Below are 23886 nucleotides of genomic sequence, written 5' to 3'. Positions count from 1 at the left end.
CCTGGGCGACAGAGCAAAGACTCCATCTCAAAAAAACAAAACAAAAAACACAAACCAAACAAACAAAAAAAGAATTGAGGTTTAAGAACCTCTGCCTAGATTTCAGAAGATCTACGGGAATGCCTGGATGCCCAGGCAGAAGTTTGTTGTAGGGATGGGTTCCTCATATGGACAGCCTCTGCTAGGGCAGTGCAGAAGGGAAATGTGGGGTGGGATCCCCCACACAGAGTCCCTACTGGGGCACCACCTAGTCGGGCTGTGAGAAGAAGGCCACCATCCTCCAGACCCCAGAATGATAGATCCACTGGCAGCTTGTACCACATGCCTGGAAAAGCCACAGATGCTCAATGCCAGTCCATGAAAGCAGCTGGGAGGGAGGCTGTATCCTGCAAAGCCACAGAGGCAGAGCTACCCGAGACCATGGGAACCTACCTCTTGCATCAGCGTGACCCGGATGTGAGACATGGAGTCAAAGGAGATCATTTTGGACCTTTAAGATTTGACTGCCCTGCTGGATTTCGGACTTGTGTGGGGCCTGTAGCCCCTTTGTTTTGACCAATGTCTCCCACTTGGAATGGGTACATTTACCCAGTGCCTGTACCTCTAAATATCTAGGAAGTAACTACCTTGCTTTTGATTTTATAGGCTCATAGGCGAAAGGGACTTGCCTTGTCTCAGATGAGACTTTGGACTGTGGACTTTTGAGTTAATGCTGAAATGAGTTAAGACTTTGGGGGACTATTGGGAAGGTGTGATTGGTTTTCAAATGTGAGGACATGAGATTTGTGATGGGCCAGGGGTGGAATGACATGGTTTGCCTGTGTCCCCACCCAAATCTCATCTTGAATTGTAACTCCCACAATTGCCATGTGTTGTGGGAGGAACCCGGTGAGAGATGATTGAATTATGGGGTCAGGTCTATCATGCATCGTTCTCATAATAGTGAATGAGTCTCATGAGATCTGATGGTTTTAAAAATGGGAGTTTCCCTATACAAGCTCTCTTTCTGCCTTCTGCCATTCATGTAAGACATGACTTGCTCCTCCTTGCCTTCCACCATGATTATGAGGCCTCCCCAGCCACATGGCACTGTAAGTCTAATTAAACCTCTTTTGTAAATTGCCCAGTCTCGGGTTTGTCTTTATCAGCTGTGTGAAAACCGACTAATACAACCACTAATAAAGAGTGAGCTATGGAAGGTCTGCAGCTCGCTGATGCTCCCTAATGCCTATTTAAGATGAGGCCACAGAAGATAGTGGACAAGAAACAACCTCAGAGGGCAAAACTAGAAGCCTCCAAAGGAGTTTCCCAGAGAGCACAACTGAAGGTCCCAGGTACTGCCTGGGAAGGAAGTCACTCTTCCTGCCCCATAAGATTTAATATTGCTGTAGACCAGTGACTATAGCAGGCTTTCCTTTCTCCCCTTTCCTGGTGGGCAGTTTCAATGTTTTAATCTTTTTTTTTTTTTTTTTTTTTTTCCTGAGACGGAGTTTCGCTCTTGTTGCCCAGGCTGGAGTGCAGTGGCGCGATCTCGGCTCACTGCAGCCTCTGCCTCCTGGGTTCAAGTGATTCTCTTGCCTCAGCCTCCTAAGTAGCTGGGATTACAGGCATGCACCACCGCACCTGGCTCATTTTGTATTTTCAGTAGAGATGGGGTTTCTCCATGTTGGTCAGGCTAGTCTCGAACTCCTGACCTCAGGTGATCCGCCTGCCTCAGCCTCCCAAAATGCTGGAATTACAGGCGTGAGCCACTGCGCCTGGCCTCAATGTTTTAATCTTGCTCCTACTCCACCTTTGTATGTTGGGTAAGTTGGGGGCAGTTAACTCATTTTTAAGTTTTTTGATTGCTGGACCATGAGATGCTGTCTGTACCAGATGGAAGGTACATATTTCCCAGAGTTCCTGAACTTTGACCTGGATGCAGTATCTGGATGAAATTTGAGAACTGTATCCCTGGGAGAGATTCATTGTGTTCTGTATATGAGAAAGCGTGTATCAATATTTGGCAATCAAAGAAGTAGGCATGGCAGAGAATGTTAATTGCCTAACAAAAATCCATTTCTGTCGCTCTCTTGCAAAGTGTCACTTTTAGCTGGCTATGTGGCAACCAAGCTACAAGATTCCCAGGCTTGCTGTTAGATATAGCTCTATGACTAATATTTGATAATTGAGATGTAAGCAGAAGTGTTGTGTGGTACTTTGGGTAAGTCTTCCTGAAAGGGAAGTATGTTTCTTGAAATGGATGTGAAATGACTGGATGATAGCTATCTTGGATCAGGAGGAGAAAGGCCAGACTCTAGGAATGGCAGAGTGATGTATGTTTGGGAGAGTAGATCTCTGAAAACTCTAGTGAGAGCCCCTTTTGTCCATACCTTTGCTGAGTCATGTGTTATCAAACTTAATGGTCTTTCCAAACTGATGAAACATGGTGTTTTATAGATTTAGTTACTATTTTGCTTTGAGTGAGATGGAGAATCTTTTCATATATTTAAGAACCATTGTGTTTCCTTTAGCGCATTTTCTGTTGGCATGTTGGCCTTTTTCATATTGATTTATGGGTCCTTTTATTTATTTACTTTTTAAATGATAGAGAAGGGATCTTGCCATGTTGCCGAGGCTGATCTTGAACTGCTGGACTCAAGCAATCCTCCCACCTCAGCCTCCCAAAGTTCTAGGATTACAGGTGTGAGCCACCACACCCAGCCTGTAGATCCTTTTGTATTTTACAGAAATTATATCTGTGATATGATTGGTAGGTATTTTTCCAGTTTGTCGTTTGACTTTGATTAGAGCAAATTTTTTTTCCAAGCTTCTCTTGGTATATTTTGTTTTAAATTTTTATTTTATTTTATTTTTGAGACAGAGTCTTGCTCTATTGCCCAGGCTAGAATGCCCAGGCTCAAGGGATCCTCTCATTTCAGCCTCCTGAGTAACTAGGATTACAGGCACATGCCACTTCACACAGCTAAATTTTTGTGTTTTTTTGTAAATTTTTGTGTTTTTTGTAGGGATGGAGTTTTCCTGTGTTGCCCAGGCTGGTCTTGAATTCCTGGGCTCAAGGCGTCCTCCCACCTCGGCCTTCCAAAGTGTTAGGATTACAGGCGTGAGCCACTGTGCCCAACCAAGTTGTTTTTTTTTGTTTGTTTTTTTTTTTTGAGACAGAGTTTCGGTCTTGTTGCCCAGGCTGGGGTGCAATGGCATGATCCTGGCTCACCACAACCTCCGCCTCCCAAGTTCAAGCAATTCTCCTGCCTCAGCCTCCCAAGTAGCTGGGATTACAGGCATGTGCCACCACGCCCAGCTAATTTTTTTGTATTTTTAGTAGAGACGGGGTTTCTCCATGTTGGTCAGGCTGGTCTCAAACTCCTGACCTCAGGTGATCCGCCTGCCTTGGCCTCCCAAAGTGCTGGGATTACAGGCATGAGCCACTGTGCCCGGCCATAGCCACGTATTATTTTACATCCCACTCTCACCTGCTTTTTCTTATTAGAAAAAATAAGTTGCCTGGGAGAAAGGAGAATAAAAAGAGGAGTGAATGAGGGGAGTATCTCCCAAATAATATATTTAAGGTGACTGTTATTTTTTCTCTCTGTGTTTCAGTTTGGATATATTCCTCTGACCTGTCTTCAAATTAATTAATCTTGTTTTCTTTTGCACTGTGAATCCAGCTGATAAATTCTTAATTTCTGATATTGTATTTTACAAATATTGAATGTCTACTTAATTCTCTTTAAAAAAGATTCTAATTCTCTGATTTTATACTTCATCTTTTCATTCTCATTGTCAATCTTTACCCCTCTTTTCTTTAACATATTAATTATAGTTATTTTGAAGTCTTTCTAGCTAACTTCAATATCTGGATCATCTCTACCTGCTTCCATCTCTTGGCTACTAGTCACTTAAAAAGTAAAAATAAAAATAAAATTTTTTTTTTTTTTTTTAGAGATAGGGTCTTGCTCTGTCATCCAGGCTGGAGTGCAGTGGCACAATCATAGCTTACTGCAGCCTTGAACTCCCAGCTCAAGTGATCTGCCTGCCTCAGCCTCCTGGGTAGCTGGGACTACAGCTGTGTGCCACCATGCCTGGCTACTTTTTTTATTTTTGTTTTTTGTAAAGGTAGGGACTTGCTTTGTTGCCCAGGCTGGTCTCAAACTCTTGTCTCTAAGCAATGCTCCCATCTCAGCCTCCCAAAGCACTGGGATTACACGTATGAGCCTCTGTGCCTGGCTGGCTATTAGTAACTTTAACCAGTTTCTTGCCTGGTAAACTTTTCATGCTAGATATTATGAATGACATTTTATAGAAACTCTGGATCATGTTAACTTCCTCCAAAGAATGTTGAATTTTGTTCTGGCTGGCAATTAAATTATTGACAGATAATTTTAATTCTGATGAAAATTGGGTTTAGGCTTTGCTATGGTGGGTTTACATCAGTTTTGACCTTACTCCTCGGGTATAATCCTTACTCCTAGAGGGTAATGTACATTTTTAGGACATGACCTTTTTTGCTTTGTGACTCATCTGGAAGTCTGGGAATTCACCAATATTTCTTTACCCTGGCTGGATTAGAATGCCACCACATTCCCAGCACTGTGTGGCCTCTGAGATTTCCGTTTAGCTCTCCAGCCTCCCAGCAGTTATTCTCTGATAGACCCTGGGTGTCTTACCCTACAGTCAGGTCATATGGCCTGGGCTCAAGGACCTGAGAAGAATGTTTATAAACTTTCAGGGTTCAATCTCTGAAGTCCTCTTCTGTGTGATTCCCTGCTCTGCAGCACCTGGCTTCCAAATCCCAGCCACTGTGGCAGGCACAAATTCTAGTTTCTCTTTCCTCTGCCCTATACAAATGCAACTTTCCACTTGGACTCAACTTCCCAAGCAGTGGGGGACATGAAGCTCACTTCGTTTGGTTTCTTTCAAACATCATAACTGTTTTAACTGGTGTCCAATCCCTGAAAATTGTTTTATCTATTTTGGCCAGTTTATGGTAGGAAAGCTAAGTCTAAGACTTACTCTGTCATGGCTGGAATTGGAAGTTAGAGACAACTTTCTTTTTTCTTTTTTTTTTTTTTTTTGAGACAGAGTCTCGCTCTGTTGTCCAGGCTGGAGTGCAGTGGTGCGATCTCGGCTCATTGCAACCTCCGCTTTCTGGGTTCAAGCAATTCTCCTGCCTCAGCCTCCTGAGTAGCCGGGATTACAGACGCGTGCCATCACGCCCGGCTAATTTTTGTATTTTTAGTACAGACAGGGTTTCACCATGTTTGTCGGGCTGGTCTCCAACTCCTGACCTCGTGATCCACCCACCTCGGCCTCCCAAAGTGTTGGGATTACAGGCATGAGCCACCGCCCCCGGCCTATTTTTTCAATTGACACAGTTGTCAATGAGAGATGGAGTTGACGTATATGCTTGGCTTGATCTTATTTTTCTTTCGATTTCTTTTTTGGTTATACTTCCTTTTAAGTAAACAGAGGCTCTAATTAAAAGTGTTGATGTGGATGAGTAGATTATGAGAATTTTTAAATGCTTTGAAAAGAACTCCTGTGAGTTATTTTTCATTGAAAAGATCTCTGTAGAGCTGTTAGTTTAATTTCTGTTTTTTAAAGTATAAGATTCCTCTCTGAAAGCCTGTAGCTGTAGGAAACTCAGCCTATGTCAATGCTTTTTCGGTTTTTTTTTTTAAAGCTCAGTTGGAAGAAAATGTGTGACTGTCATTTTGCTTTCTGATTATATCAGAGAATGCATAGATCTAAAAATGATGGCAAACAAGATAGGCCTAATCTCAAATAAAACAACATTTTGAAATACAACATATTAGGACATATGGGGGTGAACCTAAAAGTCTTTTTAATGTTCTGCATGCTACAACTACTTAAGTTTTGGATGGATGCAGTGGCTCACGCTTGTAATCCCAGTGCTTTAGGAGGCCGAGGTGGGCAGATCACTTGAGGTCAGGAGTTCAAGACCAGCCTGGCCAACATGACGAAACTCCATCTCCACTAAAAATACAAAAATTAGCTGGGTGTGGCAGTGAGCACCTGTAGTCTGAGCTACTTGGGAGGCTGAGGCACAAGAACTGTTTGAACCCAGGAGGCAGAGGTTGCAGTGAGCCGAGATCGCGCCATTGCACTCCAGCCTGGGCAACAGAGCAAGACTCTGTCTCAAAAAAGAAAAAAGACTACTTAAGTTTTAAATTCTTAAATAATAATAGAGATAGGAGGCAGAGAAATTCTGGGCAGACAGGATCGGGTCCCCGGTGAAACCCCACCTTCACCCTCAAAAACAAACAAACAAACAAACAAACAAACAAAAAAACAGCCTGAAACCGGCAGCCCAAAGTGAGAACTTCTATTGCTGTTTGCCTGTTCTCTCCTGATTGGTTCTTTCTGAATAATGCCTTTTTTTTCTTTACCAACTGAATGTTGCCTTTTTCAAAACTACCTATGGCCCAACCTGCCCCCATCATGTGCCTATAAAGACCCCAGACTTGGTAGAGGGGAAATGGCCTGACTTCAGAGAAGAGACAACCTGACTTCGGGGAAGACGACCTTCCCTTCCCGTCCCCTTTCCAACTCTCCTCTTCGCTGAGAGCCGTTTTCATGGCTCAATAAAATTCTCTGCCTTCAGCATCCTGCAATCATCTGTGTGACCTCATTTTTTTTTTTTTTTTTTTTTTTTTTGAGATGGAGCCTTGCTCTCTGCCCAGGCTGGAGTGCAGCGGCGCAATCTTAGCTCACTGCAACCTCTGCCTCCTGGGTTCAAGTGATTCTCCTGCCTCAGACTCCCGAGTAGCTGAGATTACAGGTGCCCGCCACCACACCTGGCTAATTTTTGTATTTTTAGTAGAGATGGGTTTCACCATGTTGGTCAGGCTGGTCTGGAACTCCTGTCCTTGTGATCTGCCTACCTCGGCCTCCCAAAGTGCTGGGATTACAGGTGTGAGCCACCGTACCTGGCCCAAACCAATGTATTTCTTAAATATATTTGATTGCTGTTTTGTACCTCCCTAAAATATATAAAACCAAGCTGTACCCAGACCGCCTTAGGCACATGTTCTCAGGACCTACTGAGGGCTGCGTCACGGGCTATGGTCACTCATATTTGGCTCAGAATAAATCTCTTACAATATTTTACAGAGTTTGACTCTTTTTGTCAGCACTGCTATAACAAAATACTACAGACTGGGTGGCTTAAATGAGAAATGTATTTTCTCACAGTTCTGGAGGCTAGAAGTCTAAGATCAAACCTGTCCAACCAGACCTGTTGACAGTTTTAGTTTCTCTTGAAGTGTCTTTCCTTGGCTTGTAGGTGGCCATCTTCTCACTGTGTCCTTACCTGGCCTCTCCACTGGCACGTGCATCCTTGGTATGCTTTTGTTTTTTTTTTTTTTTTTTTTTTTTGAGACAGGGTCTTGCTCTGTTACCTAGGCTGGAGTGCGGTGGCGTGATCCTGGCTCACTGCAGCCTCAATCTCCCAGGCTCAAGCTATCATCCCACCTCCGCCTCCCAAAGTGGGATTACAGGTATGAGCCACTGCACCCAGCCCCTTCCCCTTCTTATAAGGACACCAGTCATATTGGAGTTAAGCACACCTATATACCTTCATTAGCCGTATTACCCTTTTTAAGACCTTATCTTCAAATACAGTCACATTCTAAGGTACTAGGGGTTAGAACTTCAACATTTAAGTTTTAGGATGATTCTGTTCAGTTTGTAACAATGATCTTGTGTAATCCCCTCCCCTTGAGTGTGGGATGGATCTAGTCACTTGCTTTTAATGAATCAAATATGGCAAAAGTGATGCTATGCCACTTTTGATATTAGGTTACAAAAGACTGTGACTTCTGTCTGATTCAGTCTCTCTCCCTGGCTCTTTTTGCTTGTTCTGATGCCAGCAAGCTGCCATGTTGTGAATTGTCCTAAGGAGAGAGCCACATAGCAAGGAACAGAGGGTGTCCTTCAGCCAACTGCCAGCAAGGAACTGAGGCCCTCATTCTGACAGTCTACTAGGAATCCTGCCAACAGCCATGTGCATGAGCTTGGCAACAGAGTCTTCTGCAGTTCAACCTTAAGATGACTGTAGCCTTGGCTGACACCTTGATTGCAGTCTGGTGAGAGGCTTTGAGCCAGAGGATCTAGCTAAACTGCACTGGCATTTCTGACCCACAGAAACCATGAGATAATAAGTGTTGTTGTTTTAAGCCACTGAGTTTTGGGGTAATTTGTTACAAAGCAATAGATAGCTATTATTATTGTTTATTGTTATTATTTATATTATTTTATTTTATTGTTATTTATTGTTGAGAACAAATAATAGTTACCACCCATGACTAAAGTTGGTCCTTTGTATCCATGGGTTCCACATCCATGGATTCAACCAACCATGCCTTGAAAACTACAACAAAAACTACCCCCAATAATAAAAAAAATACAACAATGAAAAATAATACAAAATTTTCTAGGCTCTCAGGCCTCCCTGGTAAAATAAAATAAAAAAAACCCAACAAATTAAAAAATACAGTATAACAAATATTACATAGCATTTACATTGTATTTGGTATTATAAGTAATCTAGAGATGATTTCAAGTACGTGGGAGGATAGTACATAGGTTATGTGTAAATATTTTATATAAGGGACTTGAGTGTCCATGGATTTTGCCACCTGAGGGGGTCCTAGGACTAATCCCCCATGGATACTGAGGAATGACTGTATTTATGTATATACAACGCTATATTTTTCCATATATTATTTCCTTAATCTTCACAACAATCTTTTAAAATCCTGTTTATAGACAAGGAAACAAGTCTAAAAGGTATTAGATGTTATGCCCTAGTTCATACATCTAAAAATGATAGATCAGGGATTTGAACCCATAGGCTGACTCCAGACCTGGCACCAGGAGAGTCTACATAATTTATGGGGCCCTGTGAAAAACAAAAATATGGGGCTCCTTGTTTGAACATTGTTCAAGATGGTGACAGCAGAGCATTAAACCGTGGTTAGGGTTATTTTGAGTACAGGGCTCTCTGTGCCTGCGCAAGTTGCTTTCCCACTGAACTTGCCCTGCCAGCACTCTTGCTTGCTACGCAATATTGCCTCCCATCTATAAATAGGAAAATATTTCAGATGAGGGTCCTAAAGCCAGTTGGAAAAAATGACAGGATCAGGTGTCCTCATTCTAAACCTACAATTTATTTCTCTGCATCACACTGCCACTCTAGGGCAGTAAACTCACACTCTACCTAACACCTTACCTGGGCTTGAACCTCCTGCAAGATCTTCACACTGATGGACTATTCAGCCACGTTGCTAGGAACACTGATGCCCTTCCTGCTTGAATGGCCATATTCTAGCACATGTTCTACTGAGGGCATATTGCCTGCATAGGGAAGGGGCACACAGCACCAGGGAGCACTGCACCCAATTCCAGTACCATCTGGTGAGCTCTTTGCTATCTAGGCAACTATTTCCTTGATGGCTTCCTGTCAGTAAAGGCAGGCAGGATGGCAGATGGCAGTAAAGAGTTAACGCAGCAGGCCTGGGTTGTCCAAACACCACACATTCCAAATGTCTTTAGGACCGGACTTTGACCACCTGCTGATAAGCTCCAAGCCCTTGTAAAATCCCACCATGAGAGTTTATTTGTATACCTGAGGCCATGGGCCCTTCTGGATATTATATATTAACAATGTAATTTAAGATGAACACCTGTTTTTGTTGTTTTTTTGCCTGAGGGCCTAGGCCACTGCCTTACCAATTTGACCTCTGAGGGCAACTAGAGACTTACATTGTTAAGGTTAGTCATGTGGTTACTCCATAAAAGCCCTGGATACCAACCTTTGGGTGAGCTTTTCTAGTAGGCAACACTTCACATCTATTGTCACACATCATTGCTGGGAGAATTTAGCACTGTCTGTGCAACTCCATTGGGAGAGGACAACTGGAATCTTATACCTGGCCTATGCCCTTTGTTAATAATGACTGAGATTTTTTTTCAGGATTAATGAAAACATCAAACCTCAGATTTAGGGAATTCCCTTGCTGATTTTAAACTCTATCCTTGCCATGTGGACCTCTCCATAGGATAATTCACAGCATGGCAGCTTGCTTGCATCAGAACAAGCCAGCAAAAAGAACCAGAGAGAAAGAGAGGGAGATATTTAGCAAGACAGAAGTCAGTTACAGTCTTTTGTAACCTAATATCAAAAGTGGTATATCACTTTTGCCATATTTGATTCATTAGAAGCAAGTGACTAGATCCATCCCACACTCAAGAGGGAATTACACAAGGTCATTTTGTTGTGAAGATGAGAACAATGACTTCCAAGCTCTTTAAATGTTGGACTGGGAACTGGAAGTCCCCATTACACTACTAAATTAATACACATTCGCTTCTTTGTCTTGTTAAAGAAATATGGATTGTGAGTGGAGTCTTCCAGCTTTCAACAATGGGAGAAATATTTGTTATGATGAGCAAAACAAAATACAAGAATGCAACATATTTGTAGTCTAATTTTTTTTTAGCCCTGAATTCAGAGCTTCAAATATAATGTAATCTTAACATGTTTCTTTTCTTTTTCTTTTTTTTTTTGAGACGGAGTCTCACTCTGTCGCCCAGGCTGGAGTGCAGTGGCGCGATCTCGGCTCACTGCAACCTTCGCCTCCGGTTCAAGGGATTCTCCTGCCTCAGCCTCCCGAGTAGCTGGGACTACAGGCGCCTGCCACCGCGCTGGGCTAATTTTTTTTGTATTTTTAGTAGAGACTGGGTTTCACCGTGTTAGCCAGGATGGTCTCGATCTCCTGACCTCGTGATCTGACCTCGTGATCCGCCCGCCTCGGCCTTCCAAAGTGCTGGGATTATGGGTGTGAGCCACCGCGCCCGGCCAACATGTTTCTTTAAAAAGCACAGAAATAAAACTAGAAGGAAGTATTCCCAAAGATTAACAATGAGTAAATATTGATCTTAATCATAGTATATTGGAGGATATTAGCTCTTCTTTCTTTTTTTAATTTTTTTACAACCTTAGCATACACCAGAGGATGCTCTTATTTTTGGTTTTATTTTCTACATTGAGCATATATGTCTTAAAACTTCCAAAAAATGGAAAAATATGTTTTCCCCTGAAGTTGTCATGGAATAAGGAACAAGGTTTCTTAATTTGGGAGCATATGCTTACTGAAATGGCTAATTTTATTTATTTGTTTTTAGAGACAGGGTCTCACTCTGTCACCCAGGCTGGAGTGCAGTTCTGTAATCATAGCTCACAGGGCCCTTGAACTTCTGGCCTCCAGCGATCCTCTGGCCTCAGCCTCCAGAGTAGCTGGGACTATGGGTACATGCCACCACACCCAGCTATTTGTTTTTATTTATTTATTTATTTATTTATTTTTTATTTATTTATTTAGTAGACATGGAATCTTGCTATGTTGCCAAGGCTGGTCTTGGACATCTGGTCTCAAGTGATCCTCCTGCCTTGGCCTCCCAAAGTGTTGGAATTACAGGCATGAGCCACTGTGCCCAGTCTGGCTTATTTTAATATGTGGTAATTACTGCTGACATGTTAGGAAGTATGCTGAAGAAACATGAGCCTCGTCCTTGTTGCTATAAATTGACCATTCCCTATTGTGTTTGTCTTTGTTATCTCTAACCAGTAGAGTGAATAGTGTGATGATGTGAAAAGGTTTGATCTGTACTGGCTGTTTCCCAGTCTCCCTGGAAATACCAGCAAGATAAATTCCCCATTGTGCTGGATGATTGTGAGTGAGCTACAAGCAGAACTTGATATGCTGAAACATAACACAATTTGTAAGACATTACTGAACTTCTTAGGCAAAAGCAGATATCAAAGTATATGTTGATTAAATGCATATTGCTGAGATTTTCTTCCCCTGAAATTCACCTACCCAGATGATAAGTAATTGCACCACATCTCCTACTTTCCCTGTTAATTCTAGAAGTCTGTAAGAGACGTGCTTTGTGTTACTTCATCTTACTGCTTCTATCCTTTTGTAAATTACCAAAGATCACTATTAATTTGAGCTCATGACATCTTTCTGATATTTTCCTTTGGTACATGTGGAACTGAGTGATAAATGTGGTTCTTTGTCATGAGCACTATGGTCGTAATACCTTCCATTTATATTTGTCCCTTCCTTTGATCTCTTCTTTCCCCTGTGCATCCTGAATCACTTCAGGCCCCCATCTCTCTTTGGCAATCATGATTCCTTCCTGTATTTGCCCCTGTTCTCCCCATCTCATGCCAGCCTTCACATTGTCTTTGGTAAACTTCCTCAGACATGCTGTTCACAAAGCTTAGATGGCTCTGCACTGCCTGGCTGTCATGTTCAATCTCACAGAACGCTATGGTGTCCCAACCTGTCCTCATAACCCCATTCTCCACTGTGGCACCTCATCGCAGGGTGCGGTCAAGCTGGAGTTCTTCATATCCCCAGAACCATCATTCCTCTGCATCGTGGCCCTCACTCTTTCTTGGGTCTGGGAGGCCCTCTCCTCATCTCTGCTGACAGCAATCTTACTTGTCTTTATGACCTGCTGCAGCATGAGACACTCATGAGGTCATCTGTGATTCTTGCTCGACCCTCTGCCTCAGGCAAATCAAATTTTCTTTTCTTTTCATTCCTATTATTATTTTTCTTTATTACTAATATGGCAGTCAATCTCCTATTTGAAGTACAGTTATTCTCATGCATGCTTATTTCATCCACAAATTTCCAAATCTCCACAAAGATCAAAACTACCATTGTCATCTGTGTCTCTTCAAAGTGCCAGACAGGTGTTGTTGTCATTGATGAATTAGCATAGCACTTAATGATTTACAGAGTGCTTTGACAAACATCTGTTCTCTCATCTGCCCCAGCCAAGTCTCACAGGTAGGCTGAGCAGGTATTATTGGAATTACATAGATGAAGCCACTGGGGTGCCAAGAGATTGTGTGCCAAGAGCTTAGTTGCCAATCGGTGTGGACAATAACAATTGGATGCCTGCAATTTATCTCATTTAATCTTCATATCAACCATATGGGGAGGGTAGTGTCACCTGTGCTTTACAGGTGGGGAAACTAAGGCCCAGGGACACTTGGAACAACTTTCCTAATACCCTAACTAGATTGTGACAGAATGGGGGCTCACAGCCAGTCTGCCTAACAAGTAGCACCTACCTTTTTCCACTGAGGGGTACTCCATTTCTCTAATTTGGCATTGAAGATAATTAAATATGAGATTAGCAAGTGTGGCTTCTCTTTAACGTTTAGTCTACACCTCTTGGGGCAAACATGGGTGTCTGATCATTTGGGGACTGTGGACTTTGGAAGCATCGCCCCAGGACCTCGGTGTCCAGCAGGGGGAGTGGGAGAGCAGCATCTATCTGGTAAGAGGTATGAGCTCCTGTCCTGGTGCTGGTGGCTTTGCTGTCTTAATATCTCACTTGGCTTCTGGCTGGTAGTTCAACATCAGTGGTTTGCTATTGTTTTCCCTTTGCTACGAGGAAGGCCTCTGCCATTACTGTTGACCTGTCTTAGATGGCGCGAGAATTGATGTCACAGAGAAACGCTGTCTTTGATTCCCTGTGCTTCATAGGGCAAATAGAATGAGAAGCCACATGGGTTAAGAAGCCCACCTGAGAAAACATGGTAGGACTATAGTATGTGTTGTCTTGTCTTTTCTGGAACAAGGGCAAGCACAAATAAAAATAGAACATGGGAGATGGTATAAACTAGTGGGGAGACTGGGCCCCTGACAGGCAGAGTGTAGAAGGCAGATGGTGGAGGTGGGCCAGGGGAGGGGCACAGAAGGCTCAGGAGGCAAGTGGTGAGGCCACAAGGGTCCAGGCGGGTAGCGATGGGCTGAGCGTGGTACTGCATGCCTTGGCAGCTGGTGGGTTATGTTTGGCCTGCAGAGATAACATTGAAGTAGAGATGGCAGGGATACAGTTGCGGTTGAAAGCTAAGTAAGGATGCAACAATGTACAAAGCTCCGAACTGTGGCTGGAATTGGGCTTTGAGGCAGGGAGCTGGAAGTCTGGAAAGATGAACTGGGGCCTGGCATTGAGCTTGTCAGCATGGGGTTAGGGGAATGCTTATGGCATGGAGGAGGGGATGTACTCATAACCCTGAGAAGGCAGGCTGATGCTGGCAAGCAGGTAGTGGTGAACGCCTAAGGAGGATGGCACCAGAGAGGACCATGGCTTGGCAGAACTTGCTGCAGGAGTCCTGCACCTCTCTTTTCAAGGTGCCCATCTGTAGTGCTTTCTGAATCCAGCTCCCCACATTGTTTGTCCTCTGGTGGGCCTGCAACCAGTTCTGTTCTAGAATTACTTGCTTAGTGAAATGTTGGTAGATGACACATTGCACTTTGATGGTAGGAGTGGGGGCGATAAATTTTGGAATTAAAAATTCTTCCAGAGCCAAGCAAATACAGCTTTTTTGGCCAGTGCCTGGATGGAAGGAACAGACACAAGTGCACAGCAGTGTCACGTACATTACCTCACAGAGGAGGTATTTTGAGATAGGAGCCATGCTTTACGCCCCCTCAAGTATGCCTTGCTAAACATCCTGATTACTCAGAAGATGGTCATCTGAAGCCGAGGGGTCTAAGATTCCTGGTGGCCACCTTGACTTGCCTCCCAGCAAAATCTGCTTTCTTTTTAATTTCCCGGTCTTCAGCACAAATGCATTCTTCTCTTGATTTGTGACAGGCTGAGGAGAAATTATTAGGTTCCTCTTCCTTCTGTTGTTGACTGAGATTCAGATGCGCATAGGTTTGAGCTTCTCTGATGACCCAGGGAATAGTTCCAATTATTTAGTGGAAATGAAGCAACTGTTTCAACATGAGACCCACAGAACTTAAGAAGACATAGTGCCAAGAATTCATTTCCAAGTAGTTAGGGAAACCATTAAGCATTTTTGGTTACTGATGCCAAATTAAGAAACTCACTTAAGCTAAGGCTCATTGTTGGCTTATCAAAATCATAGTTTTGAAAACTCAAAGCATTGAAAAAATGTTCTTTATTAAAACCAAGGAGAAGAAATATGTCTAAATGAATTTTTTTGATGCAAAATCATGATGTGTGTTTAAAAATAACATCCTCCCCCCAATTTTAAAAGTGGTGAATGCTCATGGTAGAAAAAATTGGGAAATATGAAACTAAAAAATTAATTAAGAACATAGCATCTGTAATCTTCTACTTAGAAATGTCCTCTCAAGATTTTAGTGGATTCATTCTGGGCTTTAGTTTTCAGTGTGTGAACTGGCTTTTGTTTTTTTTCTCCCAATAATGCTATGTAGTGAACATTTTCCAGTGTCATTCAGAATAATTACAAACCTTTTAAATGGCTGCATAATCACTGTGTGAATGTGCCATTATTTAATTTTTCTATTTTAGAAATATTCATCTTGAAATAATTTGTCTTACCCAAAGTTGCAAAAACAGCACAAAGATTTTTAGTATACTTTTCAGCCAGCTTTTGCAAATGTTAACATCTTGCATAATCATGTACAATGATCAAAACCAGAAAATTAACTGTGATACAATATTTTAATCTTCAGACCTCACCCACATTTCATGAATTGTTCCACTAATATCGAGGACCATGTCATGCATTCAGTTGTAGTGTTTCCTTAGTTTTCCCCATTTGGGGATAGTTCCTTCATTTTTATTTGTCTTTTATTACCTCAATTTATTTTGTAGAATGTTCTTCAATTTGAGTTTGCTTGACATTTTCTCATGATTAAATTCAGGTTATGCATTTTTGGTAAGGATACCACAGGGATGACGTGCCCTTCTCTGAATCTCAGTGCATCAGTTCAGAAGGTGATGTACCATAATTTATTAAGCCATTTTTCTGGACTTAAACATTTAGGTAGTTTCTGATTTTTACATGTAATTCTGCATCTTTATATCTGATTCTTTTCTTTCTTTCTTTCTTTCTTTTTTTTTTTGATACAGAGTCTTGCTCTGTCACCCAGGCTGGAGTGTGGTGGTGCAATCTCAGCCCACTGCAACCTCCGCCTCCTGGATTCAAGTGATTCTTGTGCCTCATCCTCCTGAATAACAGGGATTACAAATGCACATCACCACACCCGGCTAATTTTTATATTTTTAGTAGAGATGGGTTTTGCCATATTCCTCAGGCTGGTCTTGAACTCCTGACCTCAAGTGATCCGACTGCCTTGGCCTCCCAAAGTGCTGGGATTACAGGAGTGAGTCACCACACCTGGCCTATATCTGATTATTTTCTAACAAGTGATTCTTAAAAATGGAACGACTCAAAGAATGTAACTTTTTTTTTTTTTTAAGAGACAAGATCTGGCTCTGTCACCCAGACAGGAGTGCATGTAACCTAAACCTCCTGGGCTCAAGCAATCCTCCTGCCTCAGCCATCTGAGTAGCTGAGATTATAGGTACAAGCCACTGCATCTGGTGTAAACATTTTTAAGGCTTTCACCAGCATATTTCAAAATTTTTTTCCTGAAAAGTTTTATCCATTTACTCTTATGAATAGAATGCCTCTCTCTCTGACCTTGCCATCACTGAATGTTATTAGCAACAAAATAAAAACTCTGTTAATTTGATTACTATGGAGGCCAATCAGCTCTACATGTATTTCTTGACCATTTAATTACTCTCACACTCTTTTGCACAGTGCTAAGTGCTTTGAATATACTGTCTCATTGAATCCTTCTAACCACTCCCTGAGGATAATACAATTATTATTTATATTTCACAGATTAGAAAAACCTGGGGGGGGGTCAGAATATTTAAATAATGTTTAATTTTAATGTTTACATTCAGATAGCTATTAACTGATGGAGACAGAATTAGAACTCAGAACTTCTGATTTAAAAGCATACGCACATAACATTTATGCTCTCATCTCTTTTTGTGTTACAAAGTATTTTCTTTAACAGTGACAGCTTTTATGTTTAATACTTCCAACATCTTCAAAATGGTAACAGAAAAACCTGTGCTGAGTGGTTCAATTCTTAAAACGTGAAAAGCTTTCAGAAAATGAGAACTCAGAAGGGTTTATTCTTTTCATTAAAAACCTGTCAGTTGCTGAATTTCTTAAAATTGATACTGAGCTCTTTAAAAATAGTTGCAGTAAAATTGCTCCTTTAAAACTTTTGGTGTGTGTAAAACTCTGTTTTAAAAGTGCAAAAATCTTCTAATCTTGCCTCCTTCTGTTTTAGGAATGATATCCTCATGAAAGCAAAGAAAATAAATAGCTTAGTTTTTTTTTTTTTTAATTTAAAAGAGACAATAGTAACTCCAGACATTGGTTTCCCTCTTTCATTTTCAAAATGCTCATACTTGAATTACCTACCCTGTGAATAAGGGAGGGCAAGTTTTTCTATCTCCTTATAGAAACAGAAGCTGAGAAAGGTTCAGTGATCTCTCTAGTCATACAGCTAGTTTGTAGCAGATTTGGTACCAAAATATAGGCTATGTATATATCAGCTCTTTCCACCATATAAAAATAACTTAGGAATGAGGTGTGAAACACTGAAATTCTAAATACTCCTCAAACTTTTATGTCTTTTCTGAGTAAGAAAACAATATCCATTCTGGATATCTTAATTTTGGTATCTCACAAATTATCTTAAGAAAGAGGGCCGGGTGCAGTGGCTCACGCCTGTAATCCCAGCACTTTGGGAGGCCAAGGCAGGCAGATCACAAGGTCAGGAGATCGAGACCATCCTGGCTAACAGTGAAACCCCATCTCTACTAAAAATACAAAAAATTAGCCAGGTGTGGTGGCGGGTGCCTGTAGTCCCAGCTACTCAGGAGGCTGAGGCAGGAGAATGGTGTGAACCTGGGAGGCGGAGCTTGCAGTGAGCCATGATTGAGCCACTGCACTCCAGCCTGGAGACAATACAGCGAGACTCTGTCTCAAAAAAAAAAAAAAAAAAAAAAAGAAGAAGAAACAGCATGTCAAAAATGAAACTTATTTTCTCCCTAAATCTATTTTCTCAAAATGTCAGTGAATGCCTCCACCATCTTTCCATGTGCTTAAGCCAGAAACTTGGGAGTCATCCTTAGCTCCTTTTCTCTTTCATTCAATCCTCAAGCTCTGTGGTTTTATCTCCTGAGAACACTCTTATTCCCTTCCTTAGTTTAGACTATTACAGTATGGAGTTGACCCTTCAACAAAGTGAGGGCTAGGAGTGCCATCCCCCCACACAGTCTAAAAACCCTCATACAACTTTTTACTTCCCCCAAACTTAACTACTTATAGTCTACTATTAATCAGAAGCCTTACTAATAACATAAACAGTAGATTAACACATCTTTTGTATGTTATATATATATTATATACTGTATTCTTACAATAAAGTAAGCTAGAGAAGAGATTAATATTATTAAGAAAATCATAAGGAAGAGAAGATATACTTACTATTTATTAAGTGGAAGTGGATCACCCTAAAGGCCTTCATCCTCATTGTCTTCATGCTGAGTAGGCTGAGGAGGAAATGGAGGGGTTGGTCTTGCTGTCTTGGGGGTGGCAGAGGTGGAAGAGGTAGAGGGAGCAGGAGAGGCAGGCACCCTCGGGGTGACTTTATGGAAATACATCATAATTTCTGTTAGACTTTTGTGCTTTTACATTTATTTTAAAATGTTTCTATATGGTACCGATCCTTCTTCCACTGTTTGCTTCTGTTTTAGTGCCTGTAACATAGCAGAGTCCATGTCTTAAAAGTAGTCCAAAGCAGTCTTGAATAATCAGAACCCTTCTGCCAGATTGTCTAATGTCAGTTTGTTTCCTGGCACTGCTTCTACATCTTCCTCATCCTCTGGCACTGGTTCAGAAGCACTCGTCTCCATCAAACCATCTTCTGTTAATTTCTCTAGTGTGGTGTCTATTTGCTCTTAAATATTTCCATGATTGCTATCTTGAAGCTCTTCATCACCCACCCCCTCCACCCCACTGTTTTTGCCATATCCAGTTTCTTTCATGATTTCCTTGATTGGCTCTGTTGTTAATCCTGTGACGTCATGTACAACCTCTGGACGGTTTTCTCCAGCAGGAGTGTATTGTTTTGGGCTTGATGGCTTTCATGACTTTTTCTATAACAATGATGGCATCTTCAATGGTGTAGTCCTTCCAGGCTTTCATAATGTTCTATCAGGTTCGCTTTCATAATGTTGACAATTCTTTCTAGAGATTGCACTATGTAATGAGCTTGAAGGTCTTTATGACCCCCTGATCTAGTGGCTGAATTAGAGACCTTGTGTTTGGGGGCAAGTAGACCATCTCAAGGCCTTTAATGTTGAACTTTTGGGGTTCTGGGTGGCCAGGGGCATTGTCCAATATCAAAAGAACTTTAAAAGGCAACCCCTTATTGGCAAGGTACTTCCTGACTTCAGAGACAAAGCATCAATAGAACAAATCCAGAAAAAGTGTTCTTGTTGTTCAGGCCTTTTTGTTGTATAACCAAAATACTTATAGTTGGTATTTATATTTTCTCATCAAATCTCAGGGGTTAGCAGCTTTTTAGTTAAGAGCAATCCTGGTCATAAACCTGACTGCATTTGCACAAAACGGTAGAGTTACCCTCTCTCTTTCTGCCTTAAATCCTGGAGCTCACTTCTTTTCTTTACTAATAAATATCCTTTGTGGCATTTCTTTTTTTTTTTTTTCCAGAACAGGGCACTTTCATCTACATTAAAAATCTGTTCAGGCAGATAACCTTCCTCCTCCATGATTTTCTTAATGGCATAAGGGAACTCACCTCTTGGTCAGCAGAAGTTGCTTCTCCTGTTATCTTGACATTTTTAAAGCAAAACCTCTTTCTAAAATTATAAAACCATCCTTTGCTGACATTAAATTCTCCAGTTTTATATCCTTCATTTTCCCTTTAAGTTGTGATTTAATGACTTTACTTTTTCTCTAATTATATTCGAGCCCATAGATGTGCCTTTCTTATAGCAATCCTGCCCCGCATAAAAACTGCATTTTCTTTATTTTAAAGACAGAGTCTCACTCTGTTGCCAGGCTGGAGTGCAGTGGTGCCATCTAGGCTCACTGCAACTGCCGCCTCCCAGGTTCAAGCAATTCTTCTGCCTCAGCCTCCTGAGTAGCTGGGACTACAGGTGCACACCACCACACCCAGCTAATTTTTTGTATTTTTAGTAGAGACGGGGTTTCACCATATTGGCCAGGATGGTCTCGCCTGCCTTGGCCTCCTGAAGTGCTGGGATTACAGGTGTGAGCCACTATGTCTGGTAAAAGATGCATTTTCAATACGAGACAGAAAGGTGTTTTGGAAAAAGTGCAAAATTTTTGCACCTAGTGGCATAGCTGCATTGACAGCTTCACGAATTTCCTTTTCTTGTTTTACAATGGTCCTTACGCTGGATTTATTTATCTTGAATTGGCAGACAACTGGAGTTGCAGATCTCAATCTATGGTGCATATCAAGCAATTCAACTTTTTCTTGTAATGTTATGACTTTTTTTCTGCTTTTTGGGAGCATTTCCAGCATTATTTACTAGTGGCACTTTGTATGGGTCCCCTGGTGTTATTAAGGTAAATGGTGTTACACTTAAGCATGATGAACCAGAAGAGGTCACTTTTTACTGTGACACACAATTTACTGGAAAGATGAAATGTTCACTCAGAGATAATTAGTGTTACATGGTGTTAAGCATATACTTGTGACACTTGAGCTCACTGCAGTAGCAGCAGGAGGTGGCTACAAAATTATTACAATAGTATAGTATTACTACACTTAATTTCATGTAGTTATGATTTAATACTACATCTTTATATTTGGTTACATTTGTCTTGACTGTGAATAAGTGTTTGCATGTGTTTTGATTAATTTTAACCTTTTATGGTAGATTCGTGTATATTTTATGGTAGTAAATGGTAAAATAGATTGATAACTACATGTTCTATGCCTTCAAGACATACCTTTTTCTTAATTTTTAAAATATTTCTCAACTGCGGGTTTGTGAGTTTTTTTCAAATTATTGTAAATCTCCAAAATCTTTTCTAATACATTTGTTGAAAAAATCCACATGTAAGCAGAACTTTGCAGTTCAAACCTGTGTTATTTGAGTCAACTATGGTCTCTTTCCTGAGTTTACAGCAGTTACTTAACTGCAATCTACCCCTCCAATCTTGTCCCCTGACCTATCCCATTCTTCCTTATGTGGCATCCAGAATGGCCTGGCTCCAGGCCAATAGCATCTGTACACCTAGCTGGGACATGGGTAGAGGAGCTGCTCTCAACTGGCCATCCAAGGAAGATATTGTATGGACGGTTACAGGGGTCTTGGGTGTAATTGATATCCCCAACACATTGTAATATTCTTTTAAATTATATCAAACTATACCATCATGTCTTCTCATATCAAGGACATATTAAGGGGGATACAAATGGATGGACACATGACAGCTAAGGTCTGACTGTCTCAATCAGGTTTAACTAGGTCCTAGCGAGGCAATTATTCAGAGCCTTGTTAGTTTAACAGCTTTGATCTTCCTGGAAGCTGAATTTGAATAGAAGGAAAACTGCTGATTGTGATTAATGTTATACCCAAGGATTTCTGTGGGAAAGTATATGTGCGTGCATGTGTGTGTGTGTGTGTGTGTGTGTGTGTGTGTGTGTCTTAATGCTTAGTCTGTCTAATTATAATATCTGAATCCTATCAATTTTGTGTTCTGCTGTCATGTAGAAATGATTCACTTGGGACTAAAATTGTCCAGATGGATGAATTCTTTGGAGAACTGAGGATTTACTTCTTTAAACTCGAAAACTGTGTATTCGGCATTTTGAATCAGAAATGTGTTATATACTCCCCCATCAATGTAACCAATACAAATTGTTGTTTTATTGATTACTCAGGACTTTAAATATAAGTGGGTACAGTGATGTTTCTAGGGTCTATTGAGAAATAGCAAGGTATTTGCCCCATCATTAAATAGCCACAGATAGCTATTTTCAACTTTTTGTAGTTTTTCTGTCTCCTCCACTTGATATTTCATGCTGTTGCCAGTGAGTTTACCTGTAGCAACTCTTGTTTCCATTTCCAATTTTGTTGAATCCTGGAGAAACCAAACCAAGCCTTAGATGGTTGTATGTAACACAGGAGTAAATAGGTCCAGAATAAGAGTGTAGGGGCTTATCGCTCTCTCCGGTCCATGCCTCCAAGATGACAAAGAAAAGAAGGAACAACGTTCGTGCCAAAAAGGGCCGCGGCCACGTGCAGCCTATTCGCTGCACTAACTGTGCCCGATGCGTGCCCAAGGACAACGCCATTAAGAAATTCGTCATTCGAAACATAGTGGAGGCTGCAGCAGTCAGGGACATTTCTGAAGCGAGCGTCTTCGATGCCTATGTGCTTCCCAAGCTGTGTGTGAAGCTACATTACTGTGTGAGTTGTGTAATTCACAGCAAAGTAGTCAGGAATCGATCTCGTGAAGCCCGCAAGGACCGAACACCCCCACCCCGATTTAGACCTGCGGGTGCTGCCGCACGTCCCCCACCAAAGCCCATGTAAGGAGCTGAGTTCTTAAAGACTGAAGACAGACTATTCTCTGGAGAAAAATAAAATGGACATTGTACTTAAAAAAAAAGAGTGTAGGGGCTTATCTAGGATCAAAGTGTATACATGTCAGAACAGAGGCTTTGTTATATCCACTATTTGAAATTGGTCTTTAAAGACTAATCGTAAAATAAACATCCATATATTACATCTGCCATTTGAAAGTCAAAATGGTAGATTATTGGCAGTTTCATCTGGTTAAACCTAATATATATATACCATGCTTGAGTGAGCTGGATCAGTGTTTCTCAAATTACTGTGGTTAGCTTTTTTTTTTTTTGTAATTTCCACTCCATCACAGACTAATTCTTTTGCAAAAGACAATAAAAATAAATTGCTAGAAAAATTAAATGAAAAGAAAACATACAAAATAAAAGCCCGTTTATTTTATTAGATTATAGGCATAAAATTATATTTTAATAAAAATAATCAGAACAACCTCATATAGGAAAAAGATAGAAAACTGCACATAATATGTATACATACACTTGATTAATATGGAAATTGCTGTACATGCACATTTTGTCCTTTTCCATCATAACTAAACACAGTTATAAGGGAAATAATGATTTGTGGTTTTGAACTTATGTTTTTTTAATTCAAACACCACTTAGGTTTCAGCGTTTAGGTGGTTCCATTACTTCCCTAGCTTCTACAAATAACACCCGGGGGTTTAGCACTTGACCATAACTTACAGCTACAAAATCAAACGAACCCAGCATTTGAGGGATCATATTTTGAGAAAAACAGGTACAAACTCTTTTGACCTTTTTCTCTTTGGAATCATTCCCATTGTCATCATTTAGTCAACAACTATCACTACATTAAGAAAAAGTGTGTCTTCTTTGAGCAAAAATGTCCAGTGAAGTTTATTTTGCCATCTGTTTTTTAAAAGGGCTTGACCAATATTTAAATTGGTGTGAGGGGGTGGAGTGGGGGTTTTAATGTACACAAGTCTCTTAATCCCTGGTCAGTGAAGACTGGAGACTCCAGGGCTTGGAGAATGTGTTTCTTAGATCAAGACATCTAAACTGCTCAAATGCTAAATTACTAAGGATCACTGTGCCAACTGTTGACTTGCGACTTATTATTTAGTTATGGTTAATTTGTGAATCACGTGAATATATCAATACATCTTAACATCTGAAAACTGATTATTCACCTAGCTAATGCTGTACACTATTGTAAATTATAAAGTGGAATTAATCTATTCCACTCATATAATGAAAACAAAATATTCATAGTAGAGATAAAATATATAAAAACAAGCAAGTTGGTTTAAGTGGTTCATCAAGTCTCGGAATATTTTCATTGTGT

General features: G+C 40.9%; 1 pseudogene, besides 1 other annotated feature; it reads left to right on the top strand.

Annotated features, from left to right (window-relative positions):
• Nucleotides 13626-14126: an enhancer, noted in NCBI's record as "H3K27ac hESC enhancer chr7:22821663-22822163 (GRCh37/hg19 assembly coordinates)". NCBI's record gives its function as "activates a minimal SCP1, AML or CMV promoter by ChIP-STARR-seq in primed H9 embryonic stem cells {active_cell/tissue: H9 hESC(primed)}" and the evidence as "EXISTENCE:reporter gene assay evidence [ECO:0000049][PMID:30033119]".
• On the top strand, nt 22153-22593 carry RPS26P32 (ribosomal protein S26 pseudogene 32; annotated as a pseudogene).

This window comes from Homo sapiens, chromosome 7 (genome assembly GCF_000001405.40).
Source record: "Homo sapiens chromosome 7, GRCh38.p14 Primary Assembly".
Lineage (NCBI taxonomy): Eukaryota > Metazoa > Chordata > Mammalia > Primates > Hominidae > Homo > Homo sapiens.
Note: the sequence above shows the minus strand (reverse complement) of the source record. Positions and strands in the feature narration are given on the sequence as shown.